The sequence below is a fragment of the Homo sapiens genome, chromosome 18 (genome assembly GCF_000001405.40).
Source record: "Homo sapiens chromosome 18, GRCh38.p14 Primary Assembly".
In the NCBI taxonomy this organism is placed as follows: Eukaryota; Metazoa; Chordata; class Mammalia; order Primates; family Hominidae; genus Homo; species Homo sapiens.
In genome coordinates, this window is record NC_000018.10 from 74,865,880 (window position 1) to 74,891,190 (window position 25,311).

The 25,311-nt window shown below is 36.0% G+C and overlaps 1 protein-coding gene across 4 annotated transcripts in view; it reads left to right on the top strand.

Annotated features, from left to right (window-relative positions):
• The window catches only part of ZNF407 (zinc finger protein 407), a 467,802-nt gene that overhangs the window by 268,010 nt on the left and 174,481 nt on the right, over positions 1–25,311 (top strand). For 3 of the 4 annotated variants that reach the window (NM_017757.3, NM_001384475.1, NM_001146189.1), the window contains 3 exons: positions 11,318–11,484; positions 15,157–15,240; positions 24,039–24,159. In NM_017757.3, the coding sequence (NP_060227.2) occupies positions 11,318–11,484; positions 15,157–15,240; positions 24,039–24,159 (372 nt within the window). Of the gene's footprint in view, positions 1–11,317; positions 11,485–15,156; positions 15,241–24,038; positions 24,191–25,311 lie in introns of all 4 variants that reach the window. The other variant, XM_017025838.3, reaches the window with a different exon arrangement.

Consider the following 25,311-nt stretch of genomic DNA (forward strand, 5'->3'; position numbering starts at 1 on the left):
GTTTTATTTGTGTTTCATTGCCAGTTACCTCAAAGACATTGCTTAGTGGAGGCATGTGTCAGAAACAGTGAAAAACTTGATAGTATTTTATTAACTACTTATTCTCAGTTGCATCACAGTTTAACTTTAAAACCATAAAACTTGTTTTTATGTTAATTCAATCTTTGTATTTTCCCTTGAACTTACGATTTACCAAGGAACAAATAACTCCCTACAACATGATCTTTCAATATGTCTGCATGTCAGAATATTATGATTTAGAGCAGGCTGTGATCTATGTCGGGTTCTACTGTGTCTATGTTGAATTGGTCTACTGCACTAAAATCGCATCTTGGTGATGCTCCAGTGCACAAATGCCCCAAGATATTTACTCTAGAAGTGTAGTGTAACTGCGGCTCTTTGGACTAAGGTCTCTGAAAGGGTCAATTTTGTACTGAACTCTGGGATTACTGGGTAATACATCTCAACCTTTCTAGCTAATCTTACCTTGAGCTCAAATGGTTCCTTAGATCATCCTGACATGCTAGAAGGCCGAGATGATGACAAAGTCCAAGACAATGAAATGCCTAAGTGTGGAAAGCTGCCCTTCCTAACTGCAGCAAATCACACACAGTCACCATCAGAGAGGACAGTCCATTCTAAATCTAGCATATGTACTCAAATTTCTTGAAATTATGTATCCATAATAGATACATAAAGACCTATAGGATAAGTTGCAAACATAGCGTATTTGATTGTATATCAGTTGTATGAGTCTATGAAACACTTCTGGGTATTACCAGAATCAATTTTGTGAGAAATAATATATATATATAATTTAAAAAATTATTTGTATGGAATTTCCACTTGTTCGGTAGAAATATTATTTTATTCATTGATTATTTTATTCATTTTATTGTATTCATTATATTTTATTCATTATATTATTTTATTTTATTCATTATATTATTTTATTCATTTATTATTTTATTCATTGATATTTAGTGTAAAAGTGGGCCTTGTGGCATGTACCTGTAGTCCCAGCTACTCCGGCTGAGGCTGGAGGATCCCTAGAGCCCCTGTGTTTGAGACCAGCCTTGACAACATAGTGAAACCCTGTGTCTACCCGAAAAAAAAAAAAAAAAAAAAAAGGAAGAAATTTAATCCACCATAGTTTGAATCTTGCATAAAATCACATTACAGATTAACAATAAATAGTGATGGTTGTCATCCCTTAACTAATGTCCCAAGGTCAGAGAGTTAAATACACTGGTGTCAGTTAATGGTTCTAACAGGATTCTAGTGTTAATAAATTTAAATCCCATGTGTTTTGTGTCTAATGCAGACACTACTTATGATCAGCCGTGTTGTCTTTGGCATATTAACTTTGTTTAGAAAACTGCTACTGTTTGTAAACTATACGATATACGATAGACCTTTTCTGGAGAGTTTGACCTGGCACGAATTGCTGGCAAGAAACTATGACTTTCTTATTGCTGTTTTAAACAGTTTGTGGAATAGTTATCTTAATTTATATTTATAGAGCACTGATGATGTGGACTATAATGCAAAATTGAACACGTGTCCTGTGCCCAATGTTGTAGAAATATTGACTCGAATACATACCAGGAATAAAAATTCCATGGTCCTTCTGAGGCTCTGAGAGGCTGCCGAAGGCCAGACACTTACTAGCTGCTTTTTCCTCACCAGCATGAGTATCTGACTGCAAATGTGATTTCTGAACCTGTGGCATGAAATGAACTGAGCAGTACTGTTCTTATGAAACCATCGGGTTTATTAGTAAAGGGTTTGGGATAGTTGATTCTATGCAGATATACCGTGTTTTTCCATAATGTATGTTTTTACTAGTAAAATTTTATACAGTAATATTAATGAAATATTTTCTAGCCATACTATTATATCAGTACAGTATAAATTCCTTACTAGGGCTTTTCCAAACTCTGCATATCAGTTTCCTGATGAGTTAGACTGTGATAATAAGTTGAATTGGGACAGGTTTTATTCATAGCTTCCATTAATATGCCAGTTTAGTATATTGTTTAGTATGTTGAAATGTAAAAGAAAATAATGTTACTAGAGTTGACTTTGTAGTTGATTTCTTTTTATTTATACTTTTCTTTTTTCTGTAAGCCTATTTTTGGTTTATGGATAAAATCCATCGTAGTTATATTTGTTAATTCATTCTAATGCTGTGAATAGTCATCTTAAAATAATGTCATCTTAAAAGTTATTAAAACATTTTCCATTGACATGCAAAGGAAACAGAGGTTCTCAGCTCTCTGAAATGACATTTTGTATCATGTGTAGGTATATAGCTTGAAGCACAGCAGCATTGCTATAGCTAACATGCTGTTTAGTACATTACTTGGCCACATGTTAGAACGATGTCATCATAAATCTTGGGTGAGGGCATTGTTATAGGAGGTTTTTCCATAGACATACACATATTTGTGGGTTGTATGCATATGTACTGTATCTTTCTGATCATGGGCACCTGGGAAAGATAAGGCTGCATTTAGCTCCTTAGAAAATTATAGTTAAATAATTGTGAAAAGCAAGCACGAAGAATGATAGGAAAGAAAAAGAACGAAAAACAAAGAAGAGATTGTTGGTTGCTTTTGTCATATATACCAAAGCCAAACTTCTTTAATTATCAAGAACATTTTAATCTGACTTTTAAAATTGTGCAACTTGATTGCTCGTCCTATGTAGCCTGTTCCCCCACAACCCCCGTCAGCATGGTTGGCTCACTGCTCTTGCATACCACCTGGCTGCCTGGGCCCCAGAGCTTGTCTCAGTCGCTGCTGTTTCCATCACACCACTTGGCTCTGTCCTTGAGACTTGTCTGAAGCCCCACCTTAACAGTGAAGCCTTTTTCAACTATTTCAATCTATGTGTATTGACCCTTTTTCTGAACAGCTTTTAGAGCTTTTTCAAAAGTCCCACATACTGTGGGGTTCTGATGTTCTCATTATTTCAGTGACATTAGTGTTGACCATTGAATCATAGGATCCTTTTGGGGAGGAATAGATGTATTTTATTTATTTATAGGTTTCTACATAGCATGGATCATTGCTAGACACACAGTAAATCCCCAAACATAATTTCTTATTGGTTGGTTGATAGAGAAGTAGCTGAACTATAATAATTTGAAGATGGTTAGGATTGTGTAGTAAATGTCCAAAGATTGAAATTAAGGCATTTGGAATGAAGGTGTAAGTGGGGATTGAAATACATTTTATCTTTTTAGCTCAAATTATGTATATCAGTAAGAATGATGACTTAAAAGAAATTCCCTTTATTTGTTCTTTAAATAGTAATATTAGTCCAATATTAGTAACTATTATTTTAACTTTCCTTACATAAATCCAGTGGCTTTTTACCTAACCTGAAGCAATAAAATTTCATTTAGCTCAGACTAGAGAACTGTGGCAGTTTAATATATGTCTTATTCTCCAGGACTTGACTTCTATGGTTAGTTAAAATTGTTTCAACTTTCCAAGCCCTGCAGCCCTGCCATACAGTTGAAAGGGGGTAGTTTTAAAAAGGACAGGGCAGCCTCTGACTGGAATGGGTCTCATATGCAGTATAATTCCTTCCACCTGTTCTTCTCATGTTGAAGTTTTAAAGCTGTGCAAGAAACATGAATAAGTTCAGAACTAAACCAACTTCTTGAACCCTGAGAATGGGGCTTAATGGACCTTTGTGTGCCTACAACATTCAGTGTGGGTTCTTTTACCCTGTATAGATGGGGTTTTTTTAGGGGCAGAAGTGGGGGGATTTGAACTTTCATCCAATCCAGCAATTGGTAAACTGCAGCTTCCAGGCCAGAGTAGGCCCACTGCCTGTTTCTGTCAAGTTTTATTGGAACACAGCCACATTGATTTGTTTATGATGCTTTTGTGCTACAACAGCAGAGTTAAGTAGTTGTATCAAAGACCTTATGACCACGAAAGTTGAAAATATTTACTATCTGGTCCTTTACACAGTTTCCTAACCCCGATCTAAGATACTATTGTGCTGGTGAGTATTGGATGCATAGTGTGTGGTATATTGGGGAAAATTTCAGCTAAAATTAATTTGGTTGGCCAGAGTTGATGGTCTCTTTGACAAAGAAAAATTTCATAGCAGAGATTTTGAAAGATGAAATCAAGTCTTTGAGGGCACAGCAATTGTAATCCTTGAATGTTTTCTTTTAGAATGAGTCATTCTCTTGGTTCTTAGTAGACTGAGGCAGCCTGGGGTTAATATTCTGCTTAATGCTCCTCCCAGAAGTTATTTTGACAAAAAGCTTTTTAACCCTTGAATTGAATTGAAAGGGCTAGAAAAATATGTTTCACAGCTTTTAGAACCTGAGTGATATGTTAAGAGGTATAAAAATGACAGTCTTTGGCATGAGTGAGGTTAATTTTCTTTTCCAACTAGTTAACAAGGATCTAGCCTGTTAATTAGGCTAATTATCACCTGTTCAGGGCAAAAATGTGCTCAAGACTCTTGGCTTAAGTAGGAGGCTCCCTGGTGAACTGTTTAAAAGCCCTCAGGGGAGGTTTTTCAACTTTCGTCTTGAAGCCACACTAGAGCCTTAGAGTTGAATTTAGTAAATGAAACCTTTCTATTCTTAGGTCTTTGTGGCTTCTTAATACGAATTATGCTCACATTTTATATATAATCTGAAACAAGGAACTCTCAAAGTCTAGTCTAACTTAAATGATCTAGATATTAGTATTATCATGGAACATTTTTGGTGTCTGGATGTAACTTCATTCATTGAGCAAGGTTTTTATTTAGCCTTTGTACACACACGTACACACACAAATGTTTAGAAGGAAATGGTCAAAGATGACTGTGGTCTTATCACAGTTACTGTTATTTAGCTATTAGAGTACCTTTTTGATTATTAAATTTCTAGACAGTATTGGGAAATTTTTATTTTCCATCTAACGTTGCATGTTGAATTTAAGCACGATATATAGTATTTTGAAACTCCATAGAAATATGGTGAACAGGTTACTATGGAATTATTTGGGTATATTTAATGTGGTTCTAGTGTCTGTGTTGTATGAAAGTGTGCTTAAAGTCTACAAGCAGTATTGTAATTTCACTCAGATGTTTCCTGGACCCAAAATACTTTAAGTATCTCACAATTATGATGCTTATAGATACTGAATTTGTTGCTGTGGCAGGATTTTGTGAGTGTCTTCATTTTGCTTTCTGGTCTTTTGGGACACTTTCTAAGCACACGGCGCTCCTGTGAGTCAGTTGGGCATGGTGGCCGGTCGGCAGTGCTCGTCCCTGTGTGCCTTCTGTGTGCTGCATTCTTCACAGAAGTGATTGTTTTCAGATACAGTTGCAGCTCTGAAGAAATTCAGGTGGGAACCCTTCTAGGCAAAGACCACTTCATTTTCATTCCCTCTCTTAGTATATTATCATATAATTATTAAATTATTATCTTGAAAAAAGAAGGCTTTTATTTCAAAGAAACTGCCTGTGAATTGGAAGTCTTTGAGCAACTTAGAAATTGTTATAAACTTCGTTAGTACATTGAGCTGTTTTGCTAGGAATTATATAAATCTTGCATTGTTTTCATAGTTCTATATTTTGTTTATTCAAAAGGATAAGCAATACCTGTCAGTTTTTTTTTAACATTAGTGTAGTTTTACAGTAATTTTTAGTCAATCAACACATTTTTGTCACAGTTTTAGAGGATAGTGACCACATAATTTTTAAATACTTTGATAAAATTTAGCTCACTCTTTTATTAAAATTTCATTTGGAACATACCAGATCTTTCCCACTGGTGTGGTTTTTGTAGATATGAGTTTGTCTCATATACTAATTTGAAAAGACTGGTCCAAGTTATCATATAGAGAAGTTAAGAAATATTTGATTGTCTTAATTAAAATATTTTGAATTACAAAAATTTTCAAAAATAAACACTTTGGAAGATATTAACATATAGTCATATTTATTACAGATTTCTTTCTTTCTTTTTTTTTTTTTGAAACAGAGTCTCAGAGTCTCACTTTGCTGCCCAGGCTGGAGTGCAGGGGTGTGATCTCAGCTCACTGCAACCTCTGCTTCCTGGGTTCAAGCGATTCTCCTGCCTCAGCCTCCTGAGTAGCTGGGACTACAGTTACGTGCCACCATGCCTAGCTAATTTTTGTATTTTTAGTAGAGACCGGGTTTCACTGTATTGGTCAGGCTGGAGAGTTCTTTCTTTTTAGAAACAAAATTTTAGAACTACAGTTAGCACTGTGCTGCCGTCAGCCCCGCCCCCCTCCTCAGCATCCGCCCCGCCCCCCTCCACAGGCTGATCAGTGGTGAGATCTTCCTGCTTTTGCACATGGACGACCTAGGTTTACATATTTAATACTGTTTATTTTGTTGCAACATTTTATATAAATGATACAGTTTCACACCCAACTTGTTTTTTAATACAATCACCTTTTTGAGATTTTTAAAAACCCATACTAATAAATGTAGCCCTAGTTTATTCATTTTCACTGTATTATAATATTCCATTCTGTGATTAAATTCATTGTTTGTCTACTCACAACCTGACGGATATTTAAGATTGTTTAAATTTTAATGGGGGAGATATTTTTTGGGCACGGCGGCTCACACCTGTAATCCCAGCACTTTGGGAGGCCGAGGCAGGCAGATCACGAGGTCAGGAGATGGAGACCATTGTGGCCAACATGGTGAAACCCTCTACTAAATACAAAAAATTAGCCAGGCGTGGTGGTACGTGCTTCTAGTCCCAGCTACTTGGGAGGCTGAAGCAGGGGAATCGCTTGAACTGGGAGGCAGAAGTTGCAGTGAGCTGAGATCGGGCCACTCTACTCCAGCCTGGTGGCAGAGCGAGACTCAGTCTCAAAAAAAAAAAGAAAAAAAAAAAAAAGAAAAGATATACTAGTGACTCCTCTTACTGGTAAAAAATAAAATAATAAACCACTTTTATTAAAATACCTGTGTCTTTATATATGTGAGATGTGTGCCTATTTTTCATTAAGTTTTTAATAGCAGAATTAATACTTTGCCTAAAGGATATAAAAAATTTAAATAACATTTAATAATGTATTTTGAAGAAGATGAATAAAAAGCCACCTTTTTAGGATACTTACCTTAGTAATGTGGAAACATAAGGTTATAGATATAACTGAAATTACACATTATATATTTTGACATAACTTGTCTGATATTTAGACATTCAAAAATAGAAAAATGCTCTAACACAGAGTTTCTCTGAGGCCAAAATATCTATTAGGACAGTGCTATTAATCCTATAATCATAATTCAGTTCCCTACTTATTCTTTAACTTTATTCATGACATCTAGCAACACCAGGTGAGAGTTTCTAGTTATTGTCATAGAGCTGACAATGAGGATATTTAGTATTCTGTCTTCAAAATTTTCAGTCTAAAGATGTGGATTTTCATTTTGACTCTGTTATCAATCATATAATGAGAGAATTTCAGAGAAGGAATACCTTGGCATGTGCTGAACACCCTGGCTTGCACCTCTGCTCACTGATTTTAGCAGGTAGGTGAGCTAAGGCCAGAGTCAGCCCACATTTAGTAGGGTGCTAATGAAAAAAACAACGCACATAGTAGTGAAGAAAGAAACCTCTCATAAATATTTTGAGAATACTAGAAAAAGTGCTTAGAATTTTAGGAACCCCTTATTTAATTTAGAAATCCTGCCAGGTGAGGTGGCTCAAGCCTGTAATCCCAGCAGGAGGACCGCTTGCACCCAGGAGGTCCTGAGGCTGCAGTGAGCAGTGATCATACCACTGCTCTCCAGCCTAGGTGACAGGGTAAGACCCTGGCTCTTAAAAAAAAAAAAAAGGAACTCTTTTAAATTTATGCTAGAAGACTAACTCGTAATTGACTTCCATGGCATAGCTACGTGCATGAGAAGGGGCCTTATTCCAAGTTTAGCATAACAGACATCTCAGTGCCAGGAACTCTGTAATGAAAACGCCTGCTGAGAGGACACTAAAGGTATTATGTAGAACATTCAGAGTTTACCCATGTTGCTCTTGAGAAGTCTGGATCCATTTTGATTTCTCTTGCTTGTGACTTTGTTTCCTTTTGAAACCTTTAAGATCTCTTTATATCCAAGAGAAACATCTAGTGAAGCCCAAGGAAAGGGAAGATAAGAAATTGCCCTTTTTCATTTCAATTCTGTTAGCACTGTTTGGCGTTTTGAACTTGTAGTAAGCATTGTAGAGTCACTCTGTTACCTAAGAACTGCAGATGGTATTGAAGCCCAGCTCTCTCTTCTGGGCTTCAATTTTCTGGGCCGTAAGAACATGGGTGAACCATATACCATCATATTATGCGTGCTTGTGTTATTTACCCTCTCAGATTGTAATCTTTACATTATTACTAATTATTCATCTTTGCACATCCCTCAACTGACCTATAAAACAATCTTCACTAGTGAATTTTTGCAAAACAGACCTCTTTAATATACTGTAAATTCAGTTATGCAAGAAATCTCTCAGGAAAGTCCACCATGTGGGGATAGAAAAGCATTTAAAACATTGAATCTAGCCTAGGGTAAGCCACAGGGCTTGGCCCTATCCCTGGTGGCTGGAGGGGCATCTCCTTGGGGGGTGGCAGGCGAGGAAGAGTCACAGCCGGCGAGGAAGAGTCACAGCTGTTGAGGCCTGTCAGCACCTTTGCCTCTAGCTCCGGGACTGTGCATCTCCCGTCTCTGATACCCTCCCAGCTAGCTCTGCATTTCCAGTTGTCACCTGTTTTTAAATGTCTAAATTAAATGCCACCTCTGGGAAGCCTTCTCTTATCTGCCCTGCCCCACTGTAATTGCTCTTCTTTTAAATTTATAATGGCATTTAATTTTTTTTTCTGGCATTAAGTTTATTTTTGTGAATGATTTTTCTCTTAGTAGCCTGCAATTTCCTTGAAAGCCAAACCTGACTCCTCTCTTCGTTTGATTTCTCTGTGCTATGTGGAACAGTGTGTTGGGGACAGTGGGTATTCAGGTGTTTCTGCTGTCCAGCCAGAACACACACTGATGTCCCTCTTCTCGCAGGGTTCACCCGGCAAGATAGAGCTGTATGCATTATTAGCTCAGGTTTCGCCCAGGGCTCCTCGTGATAGACTTCCTGCAGGTCCCCAGGAGGACCAGGATCCCTTGGGTGATGGTAGAGGTCTTACTGAGTTGCTGTGTGAAGGCAAATATTTTAGAATATTTGAGACTCAGAATTTGTGTAGTTCCAGAGAACACCCCATTGTTAAGTACGTCTTGATCTTTATAAGGACAGTTTACATAGGTAATACCGGTTCTTTTTTAAGTGCCAGAATGAGCTTATTTATTTTCATAAAGCAAATTGTAGAACACATGAGGTTTTCTGAAAGTCAAGTGGTGGTCTTAGTTCTTTGTTATCTGGCTTTTGTCATTTCACGACAGGCACAAGCTTTAGTTTAACATTTTTATTACATAGGAATAATAGAGTACATATATTGAGGTTTCATAGATGTAATTTTGTTAAATGTACATCACAGTAGATTTAAAAATGAGGGATTTATTTTGTCATTCATAAAGTTGTAATAAAATCTGGAGAAACTATTTGTTAAAAGATAGTATCTACTTAACCTCCTTATTTGTTTCTTGTAGGAGAAGGTTAGAGCCACAATAAATACATGAGGAAATAAGTAGATAGGGGAATTTATCTTGGAAATAAGATCCCTGTCATGGTTTTGAAATGTTAAATGCATGAAGACCCGTCAAAGAGATATACGGACGTGATTTTTTTTTACAGTGCATATCCAAGTATTTAGTTATATTTGTCATTCTCTAGTACTAGTAAGCAATGATCCAATGATATAGTAATTTCAAAGTTAGTCCATGTTAACGGGTGTAAATATAGTATCTCTTTACATATATAGATAAATAAATTGGCAATTTTAATATTAATGAAGCATTTAACTTATATGGCAATTCTTAAATATTTAACTATTTTTATTTCTATTACATTTAAGATCTACCTTTTGAAAATATAACTAAATAGAATAAAAGATTTTTATAAAAGACAATTTTATAATTTGATTCATGGGAATTTGTGATATTCCGAGTGATGAATTTGTTAAGGTAATTCACATTTGCCTCAAAATAGGGAAGTTAATTATTTGGACCCTGGGATTCTTTATCAGCCCTTATGGGGCTAAGGAAATTTGTAAAAGTATGGTTAAAGACTCTATGTGAAAGTATACACTCAACATCTCCTTATTCATATCATAATTTAAAGCACAGATTATATTAAACTCATAGTTCTGATTGCATTAAAATGCTAAAATTTATGATAGCCAACCCAGCTTGCCAGACACTATCTTTGTGGCATCGTGCTTGTCAACTCGTTATAATATTTTACTGTTGATTATTGAGTTTTACTTTGCTTTTGACTGTTCATTATTCTGAATTAACTGGAGAGTATTTTATTAGTTACAGGGATTGTTTTAAACTCATATTGGAAATGTAAAGTAAATGTTAGCAACTATTTCATGAATGCAATTGAACAGGGGCAGAAGATCAAACAGAGGAAGTATTCAAGGTTCTGTTGGTGGTTCAGAGTTCCTTTATTATTAAAGGTATTGAAAGGTCTTAAATGGTAAACCTGAAATATTATATTGTATAAGTACTAATTTGTTATTTTCAGTATTTTTTTTTCATACTGGAAATAGTTAAGGTTTATTTTTCTCAAATACTGATTTTGTAAAAATGTATAGTTACGATCTGTTTTTATTTTTATCAAACGAACCTTTTTATGTACCCACATGGTCACACAGAAGGACCCCTGGTTCAGGAAACACCTTTGGGGTTTGCCTTTTCTTCCCTGCAGCGTAGTGCTGCAAGGCCGCCGGGTGCATGCAGGAGAGGCCCTGCTCCAGCCGTACAAGCCGCACACCAGCAGACAGCAGGGCTTGTCTGAGTGGTTGAGTATGGATAGCATTTCATTTAGCCTTTGCTCTGACAGCCCATGCCCTGGATAAGTGGTGTAGGCCTGTACAGGTGAAATCTATTCTCACTTTTGCCTCAGGGGTGACTGGACTGTAACAGAATTTTTCAAACCCGTTGGGCCCAACCGCAAAGCAGAGAATAAATGGCTGAAGTGCCAGGCCTCGACAGAAAAATCAATGCCTGGTTATACAGACATGACAGACCAGGCCTGCAGTGCTCCTCGCAGAGGCTGCGTGTGCACCGCACCTCAGGGTTCGCACACGCGCTGCCTGGGGCCTTCGGTGCTGGTGTGCGGGCCATATTTATATTGTTTTCTCTCTCCTTCATGCAGGAAATTTACATGCCACTTATGTGATAGAAGTTTCACAGAGAAGTGGGCCCTGAACAACCACATGAAACTCCACACGGGAGAAAAGCCGTTTAAATGTACCTGGCCCACGTGCCATTACTCATTCCTCACAGCCTCCGCAATGAAAGACCACTACAGGACGCACACAGGTGTGCCGCGCCGCCTTCCTATCCCAGGAGGCTGGGCAGAGGTAGACTGGGTGGACTGTGGGAACAGAGGCATTAATTATCCCATCTTCATAGTAATCAATGGAAATGATGTCCTGCTTTAAGATTGTGGTAATTATGTATTTATAGGTATGGTATCATTTCATTATTTTTCAGTGAGAAGGCAATTTTAAAGTGACATTTGTGCTTGTGTGTGAATGTGTTTACATAAAATAAGTCTATATTTAGAAGCTCATTTATGGTGTATGTATGTGTATATATATATTTGTATGTGTTTAACATGTCTTTTTAGAAGATCTTTATAGAAGGTCATATGGAGAGATTAAGTTTTCAAAGAGAGCTAGTCTTGTGTTTTGTTACTGATATAAACGAATTTCCATAGTATGTTTGAACATTAATGAATCTTGGTTTTATGTACCGTTTTAAGAAACTGTTACCACATGAATATTTTTCTTCTGAGGAGGATACTGTCAGATCCAAGAGTTTTTGATAATTGATACAAATACTTGGATAATTGATACAAAGACACTAATCCGCATTTAGCTACTATAATTTTTTTGGAAAGTTATTAAAAATGTTCAAATTCACATACATTTCACATCAGAACATGTAACAGAGGGTGTGGAATTTCCGCTAATTGGTATGTGGAGCAACACTGAGCGTACATCTTTGGTAGGGGTGGTGCCAGAACTCTCAGTTGGGCCCTTGTAAATGTAAATCCCAGTAAGACCCTATTGTGATGTTTGTGATTTCTTTTTTATAGTCTAAGTCTAGTGGGCCCAAAACTTCCTTACAAGCTTATATTTGAGTCTCTCCCTAGAGCATTGTGGCCATATTCCTGTGAGCTGTTTGATATTTTTGTGGTCTTCCTTCTCTTTACACCTCTCAGAATGTATTTTGTTTCAGGGAAAAAAAATAATACATTTTAATCAGCATTCCAAAATGTTCTTCTGATTGCCAAGAATTTTATATTATTGTTAGAAATTATAGGTTAAAAGTTCTTCTCAAGCAGTTTGTGGGAAGCCCAGGCCTCCTTAGCTTCCTTGACAAGGGTGTTGACGATTTAAGGTCTCCAGCCTGCCCTGAGAGATCACTTATATCGAACAGCAGATGAAAAGCCAGTGCAGATGTAATTTATCGTCGGCGTTTCCTTCTAAAGAATAATTGTGGAGACTTGGCTGGATCAATAATATAGATTTTTGTTGTTAGGTCTTGTAGTCTGCACCATAATGAGAGATAGGGGACAGTGGCTGTTTTCTAATAGAAAATAAAGGATTAGTTTCCGTGTCTTTCTACATTTGAATGCAAAATGGCACACTTGAAACTAATTCAAGTTGTTACAAAAAGAAGTCTCCCATTATATCTCTGCTATCATATAAATAGGGCATGCTGAATGAACCCCCTCTAAATTCAAGAAATTTTACATTTAGTTTTTTCTTAAAATTTTTTTTCTCAAAAAAAACACTCTGTTTGGCTGCTGATCAAACCTAACACCCCAACCCACTCCAAAAAAAAAAAAAAAAGGCAAGTGAAAATTGAGTTTAGAATGAAAAACAAATCAAGCCACCCAGGTAAATATGATATACAATACATTGGAGACTAACATCCTAAATAAAATCATACACATAAAAAAATCAAAGTCACTAATGTATTGAGAATCAACTCACATAGAAAATTAATAATTTTGTCTTTTTGTATGTATAAATCTTAAAATAGGGAAAGGAATAAAAATATATAAAGCATATATGTAAGTATGCAGCATCTATGCATGTAGAAAATATAAATCTTAAGAGGGATTTTCTATGCTTGTTCATGTTTCTATTTTACAAGATGCAGGCCACAAAGAAGTTCATAAATGACAGAAAGGAAGAATACTTGAATCCAGAAGTCCTAAGATTGCTCTTTCCTCATTAGAAATTTTGCTTATTGAATGATATGGCACAAACACTCCCACTAGCACACACCACCAGATGTGTGTGTGGTGCTGCACACACACTCCTCACACGCACAGCAGGCAGCACCCACGGACCCGCAACGAGGAATTGATTGGAGGGAACGATTTTGCCTCAACATAGAAAACTGTGTTAATATTAACGAGCAAATTGTCTTGTGGGATTAAAAAAAATCTACTCTCAGTGTTATTTAATTGATAATACAGCTAGTTAGAAAGATTTATTTCAAATTGATTAAATAATTAAATGAGTGATTATAATTAAACTTTATTCTTTACAGCCCATCTACTCTATTCTTTCTATATTGAAATAATAATACCAAGGAATAAACTTAGCCCCAAAATAAGAAGTAAAGATAGCAAAAATATTTAAATTCAGCCTTATTTTTAAAATGATAATAATGAACATTTTAACTTACCCTTAGGAAATAAGATTAAGCGTAATTTGGTTAAAACTCTCTTTAAGTATATGTGTTCGTTGAAAGTAGAAAAGCCAGTAATGTTCTTAAAATAAAGGGAAGACTCTTTTGATTACTGAAGTTATTCTCCCTTCCTATATGTACTATTTATTAGAACCTTAAAAAGGCAATTATAATTTCCAAAACACCACAAGTTAAGTTTCTATTATGATAAACCAAAGTGATTTGGGACAACACAGCCTGACTCTGGCCAAACTCTTGAAAGACTTGTTGCATTAAATGTCTAAATGAGTAAAGTAGTTAAAGATAGATACAAATGATTTATTTTATTTCTGGAAAAACATTTTATAATTTCACTGAATCTCTCGAAGGTTAGCATTTTTCTTCTATTTTGCCTTTCTTTGTGAGTCTTATGGGATGATCTGCCTAGCTGGCCAGCACTTACTGCCTGAATATGCTGCAGTGGGAAGATAGATTGCATTTATAAACTTAGGGCACATGTTAGCTTGTGTGAAAATGCTTAAAAAAATGAGCATTTGCACACATTTAACAAATACTAAGTCTGCCAAATCTGTCCCTAAGTGTTGCAAAGGTTTCCAATCCAGAGCTGTCATTAAAGATGAATAGTATGAATTTTTGTACAATTTCTGTAGCAATCCCTAGACTTTCTTTTTTATGCCATGAAAGCGAGAAACATAAACAGCATTGAATTGCTACTGGTACTAATATAGATTTTATTGTTACTTGGGATCTTCAGCATGTTCAAGGAAACCATTTAATTCATATTATTAAGAAGGAAGTGATTAAGGAAGACCCTAATAGAATCAGGTAGAACCAATTCAATATCCTTAAGTTGCTGGAAAATTCAATCTGTTTTCTTTAAGCAGAACCATATATACTGTATATTAACTATTCCAAGCAATCTTTACTCAGCTCAGAAAGGCCAGATGTATGGGAATTGTAAAATATCAGGATATGCATAAAAACTGTTCAAGTGCATAAAGCAGCCCCATCTGGAAGACATCTACCAGAAATGAAGTTGTACAAAACCATTCCATTGATAATAAAGCTAATTTTTATGGGTCTGACAAGTATGTAATTATGTTCAGTGGTGCTTTTCAGATTTTATCACAGTCAATAAACCGCAGTGGTAATTTCATTCCCATTTGACATATTTACATGGAAACATTTGATTGGAGGAATTAGTAACCCTGAAAGCCTTGATAGATATGTTTTAATGATCTGTGACCTCCGCAGTCCCTCATCTGTTTGTTGTTGCAACAGGCGAGAAGTCGTTTCTGTGTGACCTCTGCGGCTTTGCCGGCGGGACCCGCCACGCCCTCACCAAGCATCGCAGACAGCACACAGGTCAGTTCCGATGCTGCACTGGCCCCTTCTCTGCAGAGAGGACGGCAAGACACCCCAGCCTCAATTCTTGATGTCATCATTTACTTTCCTTTTTAATTTTTATAACATCTGTGCACTTGAAGGTCTACAGATAATTCCAGTTGAATAACATAAAATTTTAAATCATCTCTTTTTATATATTTGAAATGTAGACATATTCCATATTTCAAGAAGCAGGTACCCTCAGTAAATTCATGTTAAGTAGAAGTAAAACAGCAGGTTGGCTTCCAAAGCCCAGATACAGGAGACTATCTTCTCTGTCCGCAAATCTCTGCCTTAGGCCTCGTGGGTGGAAAATGGGGAGTCTTTGTCAACCAGTCTCCCTCTCAGTCATTCTCTCTACCCACCTCGTAGCTAATCACCCGCCTCCCCATTTAGCTAGCGACATGTCTACCCCTCCCTTCCTCTCTCTCTCTCTGCCTACCTCCCTGTCTCCCTCCCCACCCGCCTGTCTATCAATCCATCTGTGATTAGATAGGATTTGAAGTCATTGCTGTTTCAGTTGTTCTTGGTATTAAAAATAGAAAACATCAAACAGCAACATGAGAGTTAATTATGGTCATTGAAGAGGACTTTTCTCCATGATGTGCATTCTTGGTGATTCATTGAAATAAAATAGATTCCTTCATTAAGAACTGTATTAGTCCTTTTTCACACTGCTGATAAACACATACCCGAGACTGGGCAATTTACAAAAGAAAGCAGTTTATTGGACTTAACAGTTCCACGTGGCTCAGGAAGACCTCACAATCATGGCGGAAGGTGAAAGGCACATCTTACATGGCGACAGACAAGAGAAGAGAGCTTGCATGGGGAAACTCCCCTTTTTAAAACCATCAGATCTCGTGAGACTTATTCACTATCAGGAGAACAGCACAAGAAAGACCTGCTCCCATGATTCAGTTACCTCCCACCAGGTCTCTCCCACAACATGTGGGAATTTAAGATGAGATTTGGGTGGCAACACAGCAAAACCATATCAGGAACACTTACAGATGAAAAGTGTTAAACATTTATCAAATTGTATTGCCTACTTTATATAATCTAATGGGTCTTATGAGTAATTATTTTCATAATACTAATTTATGTGTGCCTGGGACAGTGCTAATTTATGGTGGTTTCTTGTAATTATTAATAGAACCACTTTTTTACTCTAAATGTGTCCTAGTTCAGATGATAAGTCACTTGATGACAAAATTGGTAATAAATGTCCTACTTCTCTTAGGTCTCATGAGAATGGTTGAGTTTGTCAGTCATACTCAAAATGGCATGAAATTAAAATACATAAAATGTGTGATTTATGTTACATTATGATTCTTGATATGTTGTATTTAACAGTTAGGTACAGGTAGCTTCTGTGCCCAATATGGCATTTGCAAGATCAATGCAAGCTAATGCCAGCCATTCCTTTTAGATGTATGAATATGATTCAGATTTTCATAAGAGATATGAGTTATCATTGAGTTAATGGGAAATTTCAATGTTTAGCACAATGTTGGAAACATAAACTAAACTTTGAAAACAAGGTCCATTTTAAGTGTATAGAAGCCACCTGTGCATGCCTGATTTTAACCACTGGCTTCAGGATTCAGCATAAGAGATGACAGGAGGGGCCCAGTTAGTGGCAATTGTTCTTGACCACTGTTGTGATAAAGTTGGAAATTGGAAACATTTATGGTAACAGTATGCTCATGAGGGCTTTTTTGTTCTTAATGTTTTCACTTTTAATCAGTGCTCAAATTGTTACTGTTTAAATGCCATTGAAGTTCACCTTGTCCCACCTGGTATGGCCCCAGGGAACAACAGACTGCTGTGCCACCTCTGCCAGTGGGCAGGTCAGTGCCCATCGAAGTGGAGACAGGAATGCTGTGATCACGGGCATCCCAGTGATAGATCGATCAGGAAGCCTGCACTGAGCTGGCACAACTTTATATTTTATGTCAGGTCCAGAGGCTCCTTATTACTTTGCTATTAACTTTATACCATATAGGACAGTGTCTCATAGACAGAGGTATCTGTCTTTTTGGCATTTATCTGCCTCTGTAGCACAAATCAAACATGATTCTTTAACACCAAAGTCAGTTCTTAAGACTGTTTGCTTCAACAAAACAGCTAGGCACAACTCAGTCTGGGCACTTAACTTTTATGCTGGATTTAAAATATTTAAGCAACACACAACCTTTTTCCCCCAAGGCCAGACTTGTATGGTGCATTTGAAATCTATATTTCTCTGACGTATTCCTCTTTGACATGGTTTACCTTTTTACCACAGAGTACCCACGCAAATTATAATCAGCTTGGAAAGGAATACGTATCAAAAGTGCTCCAAATGGTGTAAATAATTCCTCACCGCAATACAGACTGTCCAGGGGGCTGACACAAAACATCTTCCATTCTAAGATTTACTTTTATCACCTGTCAGGGACCCTTGATTCAAGGGCACAGGAGAAGATCCTCACGTGTGGTTGAACAGTGTTGGCCAGCTTAATAACCACCAGCCCGCCCAAAAGAATGTGGGTGTGTGTTTCCATGAGACGCGGTCAGCCCGTCTGACGGACAGTTGACACACAAAGAGCACCGCACTATGACGACAGCCCTTCTGCTGTTCATCCTCTGGCTTTCCTTATCAATGGGGCCTGAGATGCAGTATGTTTCTTAATGGTGATTTGAGCCAAGATTACTGCTTGTAACGGAAAGTGTGAAAAGCAAAACAATTTAAACTAATAGGTACTGTTATGTAGGAGGGAAACAGGAGGAAAGGAAATTTCATCCTTGTTCTGCTTGTTTGAAAAGCACATGTACAGGTAGCCCTGTTGACTTACAGATAACATTGTTTGAGAGTAGCCAATATCTTACTTAGATTTATGCATCCGTTTGCCTTTAAAATGACAAAGGATTTCAAAGCAGCACTTTTGCCAATATGCACCAAACCTGTTTGATCAGTCTGCCATCAGTTTTTCCTTAACAGGTATATATCTTTTCATATAATGTATGTCATCTTCAAACCATTAGCAAATATTTAGCAAACTTAAATTCTTATTTCAAATTTGTGATATTTTCTTTCCAACTTTACAGTCTAGAAGTCAGGTCTATATTTTTGTCTGCATATTGAGACTAACAAACACAAAACTCCTTCTATATTTCTGTAGTATATTTTCCTGAAGAAATTACCCATAAAAGAGAAGAAGAATTACCAAATTATGTATTAGAGTAATAGTATTGAACATGTAACTGATTGATGAGTTACAAATTGACTATTATATACAGATTTGAATCATCTGTGGTTGTATAAATTGACATGGACTTAAGCTATCAAGAGCTCAGATGTCTGAGCCTTGCTTAGCATAGGATTTTATGTACCATGATATTTTTGTGGCATTATATTTTTCCCTGTCATCCTGTATGTAATTCAAACTTGCTTAATATTACACAATGTAATCTATTGTGTGGTCAAAGAAAATATGAAAGAACCATTTATAATTTATTACAATATAATACTAGGTTAATATGAACTATAGAGAATATATATGACATTATTCCTTAGAAGGACTGTTTTTAAATTTAAATTTTGTCACATAAAGATTTTCATGTAAGTTTAAATAAAATAAGCTACATTAAACAGAGTTTTTTAAGAGGTTATGTTAAACTACGAAACCAAGAAAATGCAGCTCAGAGATCTTAGATGACCTTTAATTTATACCATTGACTTAGGCAGTGGAGTTCATGATGTCATCCTTTTACCCCACTTCAAATATCAGCAGAATCTATGAAAAATGAATAGTTTGAAGACACCTACCAACACTATTGCGATAAAGAAAATAGCAGTGAGTTTTAATGCCAAAACATTTTGTAAACACTTAGATTGAATGGAATAAGGAGACATCAGAATATATTTGTGAATTTGCATAATGAACAAAATCTTTAAATTGCTTGACCACTTAGACTTATTATATTGAAAGTATAAGATTTATACTACCTACCTAAGTCTTATTATACAGCAACCATAATCATAATAGTATCTTGGGGGTATAATGATGGCACACAGACCAATGGAACAGAATAGCATCCAGAAATAGACCTGTGCATCTGTTTGTCAATTGTTTTTAAATAAGACACCATATTTAAAGATAAAGTTAATAAACGATGTGCAAAACCATTATGGTGGAAACGTCAGAACACTGCTGAGAGAAATTGAAGAAGATCTGAACAGAGTGTTGTACCATGTTTATAGATCAGACAATTTAATATTGTTAGGATTTCCATTTCGTTCACATCGATCAATCCAAATCCCATCAGGCTATTTTTCTTAAAGATACCGACAAGCTGATATTAAAATTTATATGGAAATTCAAAGGCTTGAAATAAGTCACCAACATTGAGAAAGAATAGGAGGACTTACACTACTTGATGTCAAGACTTATTATAAAGTTACAATAATGAAATCCTTCTGGTGTTGGCATCAAGACAGACAAATGTTTATTAGTGGAAGAGAATGGAGATTGCAGAAATAGACGTGTACTACATGGGGAAGTGTTTTTTCTGCAAAGGAGTAAAGGCAATTTAGTCTTTTCAACATTCTATGTTGGAGCAGTTGGCTATCTATGTGCAATGAAAATGAACTTTGACCCATACTTTGTACCGTATACAAAAATTAACTCAAAATGATCATAATCTAAATGTAAAACTTAAAACTATATAAATTCTAGAAGAAAACATAGGTGAAAATTATTTCTGACTTTGGATTATCAATGATTTCTTTGATATGACATCAGTAGCCTGATTTATAAAATAAAAAATAACCGGAAAAATTATGTTGATAAGTTGAAAACTTTATAAAGTAAAACTTCTCTTTAAAAGGTGCTGTGAACAGACTTAAGACAAATGACAGAGAAAGTATATTTAAGTGACCAATTTTATAAATAATTTTTATCCAGAATATGTAAAGAACTTTCCAAACATAATTCTGAGAAAACAACCTTTTAAAAATGAGTCAAAAAGTTGAAGTAGATACTTCCCCAAAGAATATAAAGGTATGGCAGATAAGCACATGGAAAGATCCTCGGCACCCTCGGAGGAATGCAGGTGTAAAGCGTTGACTACAACAGGTGTTGGCGGGGATTTGAAGCAAGTCATACGTAGCTGGTAGGAATGTAAAATGCTCAAACAACTTTGTGAAACAGTGTGGCAGTTTCTTACAAAGCAAAATATATACCTACCATATTATACACATATGCCTATCATACTCCAGGATTTACCCAAGGGATGTTCATATAATGACTGCATATGAAGGCTCAGAGAAGGTTTGTTTGTGGTAGTAGCCAAAAATGGAAACAACTCAAATGTCCTTCAGTAGACAAATGGATAATCAAACTTGGTACACCCGTATAATGGAATACTACTCTGCAACGAAAATAAGTGAAGTATTTATACTCATAGTAGCATGGATGAGCCAGAAGATAATTATGCTGAGAGAAAGAGTCCAGACAATAGAGAATTCATACCATAAGTATCTAGGTGTATAAATTGCTAGGAAATGCTAACTAATATAATAGTGACAGAAAGCATGGTGGCTTGACAAAGGGATGAACAGGGAACCTTGAAGTTAAAAGGAGTCTTTTTGGGGGTGATGGTTGTGTTCATTGTCTTGATGGTGGCAGAGTTTCATCAATAACAAAACTTATCAAATGGAAGTTTTTGTGTATCAATTATGCCTCACTGAAGCTGTTTAAAATGCTTTATACATTTGGCCTCATACGGCCAGTCTAGACAGATTATAGGCCAAGTTAGTAAAATAATTTATAATATGTGTCATTTTATCTAGCCTAGTGCTTCCTTTGTGTTTCTGTTTCTCATGTGTACAGCACTTTGACATTGGTGTGCATTAAATTACTATTCATTTGTTTAAATGAACAAATCTTATAAATGTTTTCAAATATGCTATGTGTGGATGTTCATATGATTTCATGATACAGAATATTCTGTGTCAAATTTGAATAGCTTCACCTATTTTTTTTATTACGCAGTATGAATATCATATATTTTCCATCAAAGCAAAATCTGCCATCATCATAAAAGTAAATTTTTGTGTAAGTCATTTCAGTACAGTTGAGTTGTCTATAGCAATTTAAGTCATTTGACCAGAGGTTTAGAAACTGAGAACAAAGAGTTATTCAAGCAGACCTTGGGTGACCACTTGTTTGGGGTACTATAGATGGGATTTATCTTAAAGACAAAAGGCTAAAAGAGACAAAAATCCCTTTCAATTCAGATTTTTACTCTGCTTGGTATATAGTCTTTAAAAAAAAACATAAGAATAAGTCAAACAAATATTTCCTGGTAGGATCTGTTAAATGATATCTTTATGTCATATTCAGTAACTATGCAAAACCATGAATTATTTTATGTTTGCTAGCTGTTCATCTTTTTCCTGGTTATGAGCTCTTGATGAGAAGCATTTGTGTGCTTCTTTCATCTTTGGCAGAGACGTGTTGACAATTATCAGTGTTTAGGCAGTTCTGTCATCATAATGATAAAAGCCACTGGCTATTGAGAACTCTGTGTTAAGTGTACTCTTTCCATATTTTTAGTTGTCTTTAATCCTCACAATCACCCTGCATGTTTGGTGGTATTATTCTCTTGATCTTGTTCAAAGGGTCTAACAGGTAGCAAGTGAAATATGGCAAAACTGGGATCAGAATTGAAGTCCATCTGGCTTCATCTAACTACTGTGCTGCAGTAAGAGAGAAAATACCACCAAATGGGTTGTGTATGGATTCAGTTAAATGTTACTACAATTATGGGTAAGCAGTATAAATAGACGTAGAATGTAGGGCGAACTTCTAAACGTTCTAATTTTCAGGACAGATACGGTTTTGTTGATAGCCAAATTGATAAAGAGTAATTTTAAAGTAAGATATTTTACTCCTCATTTTCTAAGTAAGTCAGTATACTCATACAGCTATCACAAAAACATGGAAAGTAAGAAATAACAAGTAGAGTTATTGAACATATGTAAAATTAATCCATCTTACATGTAAAATTTGCCAGGAAAAATGTTGAGAAAAATATTACTATACATTTTTTTTTGAGAACAGGGGAGTGAGGTATTCTCTAAATCATTACTGTTTGATACAAGTATAATGTGATCTATACATGTATAATATTGTTTCCTGGTAGCCATATTTAAAAAAAGAAAAAGTAACAGGTGTAAACATTTTTACAATAGTTAATTTAACCAAATTCAAATTATTATAATTTCTACATCAAATCAATGTAACATTATTAACAATATTTTTATCATAATCTTTGTACTACGATTTTGAAATTTGGTATTTTACAATTTAGAACATCTCAATTCAGAGGCTAAATTTTCATCTGAAATATATGATCTATATTTAGATTTGATAAAAGTTACACTTCAAAAAGTAGATTCACATTCCCAAGCTGTTCCAACCATATTTAAACATTTTTTCAATAGCTCAGTCGAGTATCAGTTTTTACATTTAAATTTACATTAATTAAAATTAAATATCCTTGTTTTCAGTGCCTATCAGCCAATGCAGCTAGTGGAATTAAAAGCCGATAAGACTCCATGATTCTTTGAATGTGTGTGGGGTGGGTAGGAATGATTTAAAGGAGAGGGAGGTGTCAAATGAAAGAAATACTTTGTTCAAGATACCAGTATGCTATTTCACTATCTTCGTGTCCTCTGCAAGCCATGAACTTCTCATGGGTAGAATGGTTACACTTGATAAGCACGTTCACACACACACATAGGCAGGCATCACATAACTTGTTGGTCAACAACAGACCACATACACAATGGTGGTCCTATGAGGTTATAACACTGTGTTTTTACTGTACTTTTTCTGTGTTTAGATGTGTTTAGTTATACAGATACTTGTTACTGTGTTACAGTTGCCTACAGTATTTAGTACAGTAGCATGCTGTACAGGTTTGTACCCCAGGAGGAATAGGCTACACCATCTAGGTAGGTGTGTAGTAGGTTGTTTCGTCTAGGTTTGTGTAAGTGCATGCAGGATATTCTCACCACAATGCAGTCGCCTAGTCACGCATTTCTTAGAACCTGTCCCTGCCATTAAGCACTGCGTAGCTGTGTCTGTCTGTCTGTCTGTCTATTTACCTATGTCTGTCTGTCTATGTATCTATCTGTTATATCTACACAGGGTTGGTATATTTTAATGTGGTATTAAATATTCTAAATATTTCTTTGGGTCCTCTTTTTACTCGGCTTAATACAGTATATTTTTTGTTGCTTCTGACACTTTTTAAGGTGGTGCCCATTTGTAGCTTGATTTTATTTTTCTTCATATCTAATGTTAAGATTTTACTCAGTTTTAAATTATATATTCACAGTATATCTCTGTTATATGCCTATCCTTGGTTTTAACCTCTCTAAGATTTTTGTAATGGCTCTGATGTAACATGGTTTATTAAACCATTCTAAATACAGTGCTGAACCATCCCTAGAATTTAGATTCCTGTTTATGTAAAATAAACCTTGACCATATAATCTATACTTTGCTTACATTCTAATATAGAAACAAAAATCAATGATATCTTCTAATTTTCTCACTCTGAGAATAAATATTCAAATGTCCTAAGTGTGTGGAGTCCATTGAATCATATTCTTGACATTTCATGGAAATAAATGTTTTTTAAATTGTCAATACCAGGTTTATTCCTTCATTTCCAGTTGTTATTATTATTCATCTGTAACATTTCTTGATATATTACAGGAGAAAAACCTTTCAAGTGCGATGAGTGTAACTTTGCCTCCACAACTCAGTCCCATTTGACTCGGCATAAACGTGTCCACACTGGAGAAAAGCCCTACAGATGCCCCTGGTGTGACTACAGGTAATGACTCATCACTGAGCAGTCAAATCAGGTGGGCCGCCATGATGGATTAAAAGCCCGTTAAATCCCAATTAGAAGTGTAGTTTTTCTAATCACCATGAGTTCATATATTCGGTTGGGAGCTAATTACCTAATTTTAGTGACTTTTAAAAATAAACTTTTTTAAAGTGGTTTCAGGTTCACAATAAAATTGAGAGGATGGTAGAGAAATGAGTCGTGTATCCCCTACCCCACACGTGTAGAGCCTCTTTCGTTATCAACATTCCCCACCAGGTGGTCTATGTGTTACAGTTGATGAACCTACATTGACATGATTCTCACCCAGAGTCTATACTTTCATTTAGGATTCGCTGTGGACGGTGAACATTCTGTGGGTTTTGACAAATTTATGACATGTATCTGCCATTATAATATCATGCATAATTTAGTTACTGTTTAAAAAACATAACATTCTTTTCCATTTTCTATAATCTTAACATTTAGATTTTATACTTTTATCTTACAACTGCTTTTCCAGTGATTTTATTGCATTTCTCAAAGTAAGGAAACCATTTTAATTAATCAGTTGTTCAACCCATTTATGGTATCTTGTCTAGAGTATAGCACTCATTTATGGCAATGAAGATGATACAAGAAAGGTTTCCTGCCTTTAAGGATATAGCATAAAAAGTGACTCAGTGTTTATAAGTAATTATAATACAGATTTGAATGGGAAAAGAGAGAGGCCAGGGGAGTACATAAAGGATTATGTTGAGCCCAGGTGAAGTCCTCACAGAGGAGAGAACATCTCAGCCGTGGCGTAAAAAATGGTCCAGTTATTTCCAGGACCCAATCCGTGTGTGTTCGGAAAGGATGAGGAGGGGATGACACCGTGTAGAATGTTAGTGCTGAAAGCATCTTGGGAGGTCATGGATGTTCAGTGCACTCACTTGCATCCGCAGTGGCTGAGTGATGTCTGCCAGGTAGCAGAGTTACCTAGTGGCGGCAGCGAAGCCTTCGTGCAGAAGAGTGTGAGATAGACTCAGGCGAGGCTAAATCATCCTCTCAAGTACATGATGAGGTATGTGTAGAGAGGCGTAGTGGAAGATCAGGTGGAGCACAGAGCTTGCAGCCAGGTCACATTGTGCCTGAAGCCTGCAAGAGTGAGATTGG